Here is a 12,355-nt window from a genome sequence, read left to right on the forward strand (position 1 = left end):
AGAGAAATAAAATTACTATCTTGAGGAGATATTTGTACTTCCATATTCACTGCAGCATTATTTACAATAGCCAAGATATGGAAACAGCCAATGTTTCCATTGATGGATATATTTGTGTGTGTGGGGGGGGGTGGGTGTGTGTATTTATGCACATATGCATACATACATACATATAGATGCACATGCATACAACATAATTTCTTTATCCATTTTACATATTGTGGTACATATGTAATGGAATACTATTCAGTTGTTTGCAACAACATAGAAGAACTGGTAGTACACTGTGCTAAGTGAAATAAGCCAGAATCAGAAAGGCAAATACTGTATGATTTTACTTATATGTAGAATTTTTTCAAAAAAGACTGGGTGTAGTGGCTCATGCCTAGAATCTCAACACTTTTGGTGAGTGAAACAAGAGGATCACTTGAGTACAGGAGTTTGAGACCAGCCTAAACAACATCAGGAGACCTCCCCCCGACATTGAGACATACTTGTAGAATCTCTATGAAGTGAGTATCATTCTCACAGAAATTTGTGAAAAATTAAAGACATAAAAGTTATGTAAGTTGTCCATAGTACTTTAGGTTAGAGAAAACAATGAAATTTAGAGCATGCATTTTGTTTTGCCTTTGAAAATATCTATCATCTTGTTTATCAATTTCAGTAGAACTTCAGTAAATTTCACCATTAGTATGTGAGATCAAAATCTTACATGAAAAACAGCTTACTATTAAAATACTTTGGTTGTATTTAACATTAGAGATGGGGAAAAATCTAAGAAGCTACTGTATGCTTTTTTGCTTCCACTGGTTGCTCTTGAGTATTTGCCAGATTTTCAAAACGATCATCAAAAGTTAGCATTACTTTTTTTTTAGAGCAAAACTTTTATTTAACTACTGACTACTGATTTTCAAGTTTCTGTTAGTTTCCATATAACTACATGCACAGTTGTCAGATGTTTAAAGCAATCGAACCTAAATTGATGAGACTTTAAAAGGATTTGAATATGCTGACTAGTGTGGTTATTTCATGTCAAAAAAAAAAAGAAATAAATCTGCCCAATCTAGTTAAAGGAGAGAGAAAAGCAAATAGCAAGAAGATATTTTGATATTTCTCCAAAATAATGAGGGTGAAAATGAACACTTACTTCAAAACAAGAAGTATATTTTTAAATTAAACCTTATTGCTTCAACACAACCATATTGGCTACTGACTTTAGAGCAAACAGTTTATTTATATATTAGAGCTGTAATGTAAAAAAGATAAGAATAAAAATCTGAAGATATAATAATCCTAGCTTCTGCATGCTCTAAAGAATTAGCCAGCCGGGCGCGGTGGCTCACACCTGTAATACCAGCACTTTGGGAGGCCGAGGCAGGTGGATCACAAGGTCAGGAGATCGAGACCATCCTGGCTAACACGGTGAAACCCCATCTCTACAAAAAAATACAAAAAATTAGCCAGGCGTGGTGGCGGGCGCCTGTAGTCCCAGCTACTCGGGAGGCTGAGGGAGGAGAATGGTGTGATCCCGGGAGGCAGAGCTTGCAGTGAGTCAGGATGGCGCCACTGCACTCCAGCCTGGGTGACAGAGGGAGAGGAGACTCAGTCTCAAAAAAAAAAAAAAAAAAAAAAAAAAAAAAAAAGAATTAGCCAGTACCTAATAGGACATGGAGATACTCACAAATATATTCTTTATTGTTAAATCATGAGAAAACTAAAACAAAATATTACCAAAAAGATTGAATTAAAATAAGCTTCTAGAAAATTCCTTAGATTATACATCTAATACAGTTTTAGTTTACATAAACAAAGCTGAACTTATTTTTACATGTAAATATTATATTACTGTAACTAAGAAGATAAGTCATTAAACAAGGTTGTAATTTCTGATGAAATTCCAGTTGCAAACTCATCACTCAGGAAACTCTGAAGCATAAATTAGACCCCAGAGTGTCCTACCTAGAGGAAAAGGACCTGGGTTTTATAACCCCAAATCTGTCATTAATTGTCTATAATCACTCTTGGAGAGATAAATATGGGTACAATATTTTCTAAGCATTTTTGGGTTTTCATACGTAGGCAGCTCCAGTGCTCAAAGGCATTCATGTAAAGAAATGTATAAGTGCAAGCCCTTAGCTTAAAGCACACAGAAGCTTGCAGAGGGGTCCTGAGCTGAGAAAGTGATCCAAGGGGAATGGGGGTGGAGGAAGAGGGCACAAAAAATGGTCACTGTAGAAAAGCTCCATTAAAACACTTTTTTCTATAACAACCCTATTACTAATCATAGGTGAATGAAAGAGCATTTTTAAATATTGCATTGGAAGAAAACAGATACTTAACCTACGTAAGATATTTAACCTACGGTTAAAATATCCTCCATAATCAAGGATTGAAATATACATTATTTATATACTTTAAGTGCAAATTCTGTCAATGAAGTTCCTGGATACCTCATATAGATTGGCCTGAACAACTACTGGAAAATCATTGAAGACACAGTTAATGTGGACGGGGATCTATGTGGCACTTCGAACAAAGGCATTTAGAGTATTCTTGAAGGCACTCTATGGAAAGTTGACCATGATAAATTTGTGTTGTTACGTTTTTCAGAAATTAATCTAGTCAGCCAGGCACTGTGACTCACGCCTTTAATTCTAGCACTTTGGGAGGCCGAGGTGGGTGGATTACTTGAGGTCAGAAGTTTAAGACAAGCCTGGCCAACATGGTGAAACCTTATCTCTACTAAAAATATAAAACAATTAGGCAGATCTGGTGGTGCATGCCTCTAATCCCAGCTACTTGGGAGGCTGCGGTGAAAGGATTACTTGAACCTGGGAGGAGGATGTTGGAGAGCCAAGATCGTGCCAGTGCACTCCAGCCTGGGTGACAGAGTGAGACTCTGTTTCAAAAAAAACCAAATTTTTTTCTGGTCATCAGAAATATGGGCCTTGCTTGATTTGAAGGAAAAAAAATACATGATTTTAGTAACTTCATACAAACTATTCTAATTATGGCTTTTCTGATAATGTAACATGAAAGCAATTTGAAGTACCAGTCCATGATTTTCATTACTTGCAGATGAACCATGATTATATTTTTCTTAGAGAAAGTATGAAATCATTTATTTATTCATCAAATAATTCATAAATGCAAAACATGTATTAAGCAATTTGCTAGGTCTGCAATTTCATGCTACTTTTTAGTTTTGCTAATTTTTTTGCTATGTGTAAGATTTTTAGTTTGATGTAGTTTTACATTTATTTTAGATTCTGTTGCTTGTGCTTTTGCTAGCAGATCCCAAGAAGTTATTGTCTGGACTTAGGGACTAATGTCAAAGAGATTTTCCCTATATTTTCTTTTATTTGAAGACTGGGCAGCAAACAGACACATGAAAAAATGCACATCATCACTGGCCATCACAAAAATGCAAATCAAAACCACAATGAGATGCCATCTTACACCAGTTAGAATGGCGATCATTAAAAAGTCAGGAAACAACAGGTGCTGGAGAGGATGTGGAGAAACAGGAACACTATTACACTGTTGGTGGGACTGTAAACTAGTTCAACCATTGTGGAAGACAGCGTGTCGATTCCTCAAGGATCTAGAACCAGAAATACCATTTGACCCAGCCATCCCATTACTGAGTATATACCCAAAGGTTTATAAATCATGCTGGTATAAAGACACATGCACATGTATGTTTATTATGGCACTATTCACAATAGCAAAGACCTGGAACCAACCCAAATGTCCATCAATGATAGACTGGATTCAGAAAATGTGGCACATATATACCATGGAATACTATGCAGCCATAAGAAAGGATGATTTCATGTCCTTTACAGGGACATGGATGAAGCTGGAAACCATCATTCTGAGCAAACTATCGTGAAGACAGAAAACCAAACACCGCGTGTTCTCACTCATAGGTGGGAATTGAACAACGAGAACACTTGGACACAGGGTGGGGAACATCACACACTGGGACCTGCCTTGGAGTGGGGGGAGCGGGGAGGGATAGCATTAGGAGATATACCTAACATAAATGACGAGTTAATGGGTGCAGCACACCAACATGGCACATGTATACATATGTAACAAACCTGCATGTTGTGCACAGGTACCCTAGAACTTAAAGTAGAATAATAATAATAATAATAATCGTAATAAAACCAAAGTGTTTTTGTTTTTTTAAAGATGAAATTGAAAAGTCTTTGGTGAGGCTAACCATGAGACAAAAAAGAGAACTTCAATAAATAAAATGATAAATAAATAAAACAGGAGCCACTGTAAGAGATGCCACAGAAATATAAGGGATCATAAGAAACTATTATAAACAACTAAATGTCAACATATTGGAAAACTTAGAAGAAATGAATAGATTCTTTGAAATGTACAACCTACCAAGACTGACTGATGAAGAATCAGCACATTTTAACCAATGATGAGTAAAGTGATTGAATCTTAAATCAAGTACCTCCCAACAATAAAAAGCCCAGGACCAGATGCCTTCATTGGTGAATTCTACCAATTGTTTAAAGAAGAATTAATGCCAATCCTTCTCAAAAACTTTCACAATCCTGAAGAGGAAAAAATGCTTCCAAACTCACCTCATGAAAGGTATTTACATCATGAAGCCTCCTCTCTCATGAATGGATTAATGACGACTATAAAAAGGCTGGAGGCTTGCTCTCTCTCATGAGCTCTCTCATCAAGGAATGGCTTCTGCCACATTATGATGCAGCAAGAGGGTCCTCACCAGATGTGGCCCCTCAATCTTGGATGTCCCAGCCTCTGAAACTGTGAATCAAGTGAACTTCTACTGTTTTTATATTACACAATCTCTAGTTTTCTGGTACAGCTGCAAAAAAATGAATTAAGACACACATGTCTGTCAAAAGCCCATGTCTCTACTGCTGTCACTGCCACAGAAATAAACTCATTTTACTTCTGCTTTCTAAAATCATCTAAGTACCTTTCATTGGCAGAATTTGAATAACACATAGAAACACAAAAGGTAACATAGAATGGAGTAAAATCAGATCACAAATAAACACTATGCAGCAAAGGGGAAAGAAACTTTAGAGAAGTCAAGAAGTCGGAGGATTTGTCTAGGGATTTAGGATCTAAGCCACTGGTGACACTAGCCACAACAATTTCAGTGGATGGATGAGTGAAGAAATCACATTTCAATGGTGAATTGAAGGTAATAACAGACTCACAGAGAATAGATGCTTACGTCAGGAGACTTTACCTTAATGAGAAATAGAAGAGATATTTAATAATTAGTATTACAAATGGGACATGAAATTGAGTGATGTGTGTTCCCCCACTTTATTCATTATTTCTCTCTCCCTGCCTTTCCCTCTTCTCTCTTTCTCTCTGTCACCCTCTCATAAGTTAGCAAAAACGTGCAAAAATATTTATTAAGTAAAATAAATCATATCTAGTGGGAAAAGGGGGAAGTTCAAGAGATTCTGGAAGAAAGGGATAAATGATAGAGCAATATCCCTGAACAATTTAGAAGATAAAAATTAACGGTGAAATTGGCCAGTAGAGAAAACTACCCTTGGCTTTTTTTTTTTTTTCTTCCTTAGCAATGCTACTAATCTCTCCTACCTCACTCTGCCTGTAAGCATTGTTTACTTTGTTGAATTCTGTTAGTGGAAAGAGTTCTTGCTCATTTTACATTTTAATACAGAAGTATTTTCAGATTGATTTTCTTCTGAAAAAAAACCTCACTATTCCGTAGAATTTAGTGTATTATATGGGAGTCCTGTGTTTAATTATTGATCATCCCACTTTTCCCCCATTTTAAAAATCACATGACTCTCTCTGATACTGAAAATGGTCTCTTTTTTGGTTTGTTAATTGTTTTTCTATTTTGTTTCTACTATTTTGTAGACTAAAGTAGTATACTAGTTCTATGCAACTGCTATTATGAAGACTATATTTCAGAAATATAACTATTTATTTCAATCAATACCTAAATCCTAATCCCTTTAAAAAGGAGTTTTCTGGTAGATTCTTGTCACCTACCAAAAATTTAGAAGTTTGGTTTTACAATTACATGAAAAAGAGTATTAATCCAGACTTTCTCTTCACCTTATAGAAATACACTAGATAAATAGTAATGGTTATTGGCATGTATCTTCTTTTGTAGTATGTATTCTTATGAACTTTATATTTTATTTCTACATAGGCTTTTTCAGTGTCACGATTCCAGAAATATTTATGTAGCTTTAATTTCTTAATGAAAATATAGTTTGGAGTATGGAAAGCCATCTGACTTAGCATGAGGAATCATAGTCCTTGATGCACCTATGACTACATCTATGACTTCAAACATATCGCTTTATTTCTATGGAATTCAGTTTTTCACTATTTAAATGATAATAATACTTATTTGATTTTTTCTTAAAAGTTGGTTATTTCTATGGACAGTAAGTGAAATTTGTGATTGAGGACCCTAGCAAAACTATCTGTTAATTCCACCCATGTAGATGAAAATTAAACCAGCATCAGGTCATGGGCTGAATGAAATGTCTTTCTGGGTTACTGAAGAGATAGAGAAAGACATATTGTCTCGTGACACCCAGGGACAGGCTTTACTTTCTCTCTGAATGAGAATGTAGCCTTGCTGATATTACATTGGTTTCAGAGAAAGGAAAGCCGGATATTTGAAAATGCTTAAATGAAAATAACATATTTTCCCAACATTTCTTCTGATAAAGTGTTGTAAGCCCATATTTACATGAAATGACAGTGTGTAAAAAATATTATGTTGTTTTATCAACTCTGATAATTTCTCTCCATGGAGAAATCATCACATAGTTAGGGAAAATGGCTACCAGGAAGAAGGAACTTCAGTTATATCTTCTCCTCTATGTCATCACCGTACTAGCTTTATTTATTTTTTAATCTGTGGCTTAATAAGTTGGCTGTAACTGTATTTGTTTTCTTTCTGCCAAAGCTTAAATTGCTTGAAATGCTGCAGCCAGAAGTGATATAATAGAAATAGACTTTGAAAAATTAAAAGTGTCTGGTACACATTCAAAGCAAAGCATATACTCTTAGGACTGGAAGATATTCAAGAAGATTCAAGAGTGAGGTGGGGGCATTGGGGAGATGTTGGTCAATGAACACACAATTTCAGTTGGGCAGGAGTAATAAGTTCAAGGTATCTACTGTGCATCATGATGACCACAGCTAATAACAATACATTGTACACTTTAAAAATTGCTAAGTGGGTAGATTTGAAGTGTTCTCACCATGAAAAAATGATAAGTATGTAAGGTAATTTATATGTCAAGCAACTTAATTTAGCCATTTCACAATATCCATGTACCAAAACATCATGTTGTTCACCATGAATACATATAATATTTGTCAATTAAAAAATAAATAAAAATAAAAAATTTGAGATATCAGTTTTTTAGTATTTTTGCATGGCATTGATATTTGGAAATTCACCTAGATACGTCATATTTTGAAAAACAGTACTTACTGTATCAGTAATGAAGACATAATATTGTAAAGAAAAATGTTTTTAGCTGAGATTTACATTCCTATTAAAAAATTCCCTTTATATAGAAAGGCAAATCAAGATATGCATTTTAAACTGTTTTCTGGTAAGCCTCTGTTTCTCTTCTACAGATTAAACTCAATAAACACAATTGAGAATGTCACTTGTGGGTGTACATCTTGAGAATTAATGGTGTAATGATGGGGCAGTGGATTGGATTTGCTCATATGCATTAAGAAAATCTAAGATTCAATCCTCAGAGGCCATTGGGATGGATCCATAGGGATGCAATGAATTACCGCCTGGTCTGAATATTTTTATTTTCTAATTCTCACTGGTGCTCTGGATTCCCAAAGATTTCGCGGTCCTAGAAAAATCAGCATGTTCTACTAGCACCTCAAACTAGAGTCTCTGTAGAAAATCTAGGCATTGACATGCCATTCTGTAAATAGAAGGTACAGGTCCATTTGAAGAAGTTGCCAAAGCACTCATGTCAGGGATAAGAATAGGATTTGTTAGCAGAGATAAATTTGAAGCAGAACTTTTCTTGCAGCTTTGGAGTATACTCTAGGAGAGTTAAGAATTTTGTGACAGATTTGAGAATATGGGAACTTCTAAATTCAAAATAGAATGTCGAACTGAAATTAGCTCCATATACTATTGAGTGTTAAAAATGCTTGTCACAGGAAATTGTTCAAGTTAATGTGATGATAGTTTAGACATGTCCATTAGCCTACCCACACCACTGGTTCAGCTATGATTTGAATTAAAATGCTCCTGTGTGAATACATACACAGAACATTTGAAAGCAATATTTCCCTACTTTTTCTTTACTTCTGCAAAAATTCTGAATATGATTTTAGAATGGCTGTGTTCCCTAAGGGTGTCAAAATGCAACAGAGTACTTTATGGCTTATGTTTATTTTTTTCTTTCCTTATGATAAATTATAGAATTACATTGTTGAATTCATTAGCAAATTTGTCTAGATATAGAATATAAAGTGTGCTTTTGTCAACATTAAACCAATATATTATTGGCAGTAATATGCATTAATATTGCTGTGAACTTATGCAATTAGAATGAGTCAAGTTACCCTACACATATTAACTATGTACTATAAAGTTTCTATGCTATATCTGTTTTATTTTAATAGAGGCTGAACTCAATAAAAAATATATTACATGAATTTCTAAGGGAAGACCAAATTAATTCTTCTTCTTATTTTTTTTTTCACAGAGTCTCACTCTCATGTAGGCTGGAGTGCAGTGTCCCCATTATAGTTCACCACAGCCTCAAACTCCTGGGCTCAAGTGGTCCTCCCGCCTTAGCTTCTAAAGTAGATAGGACTACAAGCCCATGCCACCACACTTGGCTAAGTTTAGGAATTATTTGTAGAGATGAAGTATCACTATGTTGCTCAGGCTGATCTTGAACTCTTGGCCTCAAGTGGTCCTCCTGTCTCAGCCTCCCAAAGCACTAGGAATACAGGTGTGAGTCACTGCTCCTGGCCTGATTTTTGATTTGGAAATTAAACTGTTCTAGAACTTTTAGGAGTAGTCGTTCTTGCTTTTTGAAAATACATATTTTTGAATTTTCTAAACACATTGTTATGTTAAATCAATGTTTATATTTGGCATTATTTTAGAAGTACTTAAAAAATCAGACCATATTTACACACAAATTAATATTTACAAGAATGTATGCTCCATGAATGTGGAGTGTATAAGTTTAAATCAAATCTTTGACCCTGGACTTAAACTGTCTGTCACAGTTTTCTCCTCCTTAAAATGGGATTAATCAAACATACACATAATATTTTTGTGAAGATTAATTTATATATTGGTCTGTTTTCATGCTGCTGATAAAGACATACCCAAGACGTGCCAATTTACAAAGAAAGAGGCTTAATTAGACTTAAAGTTCCATGTGGCTGGGGAGGCCTCACAATCATGGTAGAAGGCAAGGAGGAGCAAGTCACATCTTATGTGGAAGGTGCCAGGGCCAAAAAAGAGAGCTTTTTCAGGGAAACTTCTTATAAAACCATCAGATCTCATGAGACTTATTCACTATTATGATAACAGCATGGGAAAAACCTGCCCGCATGATTCAATTACTTCCCACTGGGTCCCTCCTACAACATGTGGGAATTCAAGATGATATTAGGGTGGGGACACAGAGAAACCATATCATTCCATCCCTGGCCCCTCCCAAATCCCATGTCCTTAACATTTTAAAACCAATCATGCCTTCCCAGAAGTCCCCCAAAAGTCTTAACTCATTTCAGCATTAACTCAAAAGTCCACAGTCCAAAGTCTTATCTGAGACAAAGGCAAGTCTCTTTTGCCTATGAGCCTGTAAAACCAAAACCAAGCTAGTTACTTCCGAAATACAATGAGGGTACAGACATTGGGTAAATAGAGCCATTCCAAACTGGAGAAATTGACCAAAACAAAGGGAATGTAGGCCCCATGCAAGTCCGAAATCCAGCAGGGCAGTCGAATCTTACAGTTCCGAAATGATCCCCATCGACTCCACATCGCACATCCATGTCATTCTGATACAAGAGGTAGGTTCCCATGGTCTTAGGCAGCTCTGCTTCTGTGGCTTTGCGGGGTACAGCCTCCCTCCTGACTGCCTTCACACGCTGCCCTTTAGTGTCTGCAGCGTTTCCAGGTGCATGGTGCAAGCTGTCAGTGCATCTACAATTCTGGGGTCTAGAGGGCAATGGCGCTCTTCTCACAGTGCCACTAGGTGGTGTCCCAGTTGCGACTCTGTGTGGGGGCTCCAGCTCCACATTTCCCTTCTGCACTGCCCTAGCAGAGATTCTCCATGAGGGCCCCACCCCTGCAACAAACTTTTGCCTTGGCATCTAGGCATTTCCATACGTCTTCTGAAATCTAGGCAGATGGTCCCAAACCTCAATTCTTGACTTCTGTGCACCTGCAGGCTCAACAACACGTGGAAGCTGCCAAGGCTTTGGACTTCCACCATCTGAAGCAACAGCCTGAACTGTACCATTGTCACTTTTAGTCACAGCTGGAGTGGCTGGGACACAGAGCACCAAGTTCTTAGAATGCACACAGCACAGGGACCCTGGGCTTGGTTAATAAAACCATTTTCTCCTAGGCTTCTGGACCTGTGATGGGAGGGGCTGCCATGAAGACTTCTGACATGCCCATTTTCCCCATTGTCATGTGAAGTAACATTTGGCTCCTTCTTACTTATGCAAATTTCTGCAGCTGGCTTCAATTTCTTCTCAGAAAATGTTTTTTTTTTTTTTTTTCCTCTACCACATTGTCAGGCTGCAAATATTCTGAACTTTCATGCTCTTCTTCCCTTATAAAACTGAATGCCTTTAACAGCTCTCAAGTCACCTCTTGAATGCCTTGTTGCTTAGAAATTTCTTCCTCCAGATACCCTAAATCATCTGTCCCAAGTTCAAAGTTCCACAATTCTCTAGGGCAGGGGCAAAATGCTGCCAGTCTCTTTGCTAAAACATAGTAAGAGCCATCTTTGCTCCAGTTCCCAACAAGTTCCTCATTTCCATCCGAGACTACCTCAGCCTGGACCTTTGTTTTCAGGATGCTTATAAAGGCATACCCAAGACTTGGTAATTTATAAAATAAAGAGGTTTAATTGGACTTACACTTCCACATGGCTGGGGAAGCCTCATAATCATGTCAGAAGGCAAGCAGGATTAAGTCACATCTTACATGGAAGGTGGCAGGCAAAAAAAAAAAAAAAAAGAGAGAGCTTGTGCAAGGAAACTCCTCTTTACAGAACCATCAGATCTCATGAGACTTATTCACTATCACAATAACAGCACAGGAAAGACTTGCGTCCATGATTCAATTACCTCTCACCAGGTCCCTCTCACCACATGTGGGATTCAAGATGAGATTTGGGTGGGGACACAGAAAAAGTATATCAATTTAGTTTCGGAAAAAAATGTTTACCCAGTACTTAGTATATAGTTTGTGTTTTAAAAAGCTGTTAATCTTAAAAACAGGAAGAGTGTATGGCATGTAATTTTTATTTAGTATTTATTTGTCGAGAAATATTTAGGTTGGTGCAAAAGTAATTGCAGATTTGGTTCCTGAATTTTACATCATTATCACTAGGCTGAGGCAAATCTTTATTAATCAAAATAGGAAACATTATAATCAACATATTTTTTGCCAGTGAGAAATAAATTTGTTTAATCCTGTAGCGTAAAATTCATGCTTTGGGTTTCAACGAACCTTTGGAAAGCATTTTCTGCATCTTGCTGGTTGTGGAAGTGTTTTCCATGCAAAAAGTTGAGATGTTTGAAAAAGTGGTAGTTGGTTGGCGAACAGTCAGGTGAATATGGCAGATAAGGCGAAACTTCTTAGCTCAATTCATTCAACTTTTGAAGCACTGGTTGTGCAACGTGCAGTCAGGCGTTGTTGTGGAGAAGACTTAGGCCCTTTCCGTTGACCCGGCCTTGCAGTTTGTGGTGCAAATCATCAATTTGCTGAGTGTACTTCTCAGATGGTTTCACCAGGATTCAGAAAGCTGTAGTGGACCAGATCGGCAACAGACCACCAAACAGTGACCATGACCTTTTTTTTTAGTGCAAGTTTGTCTTTGGGAGGTGCTTTGCAGCTTCTTCTCAGTCCAACTATTAACCTGGTCATTGCTGGTTGTCATATAAAGTCCACTTTTTGTCATGCGTCACAATTCGATCGAGCAATAGTTCATTTTTGCATAGAATAAGAGAAGATAACACTACAAAATGACAATTTTTCTTTTCTTTTTTTTTTTTTTTTTTTTTTTTTTTTTACTCAGCTCACGAGGCATCC

Source organism: Homo sapiens, chromosome 1 (genome assembly GCF_000001405.40).
Source record: "Homo sapiens chromosome 1, GRCh38.p14 Primary Assembly".
NCBI lineage: Eukaryota > Metazoa > Chordata > Mammalia > Primates > Hominidae > Homo > Homo sapiens.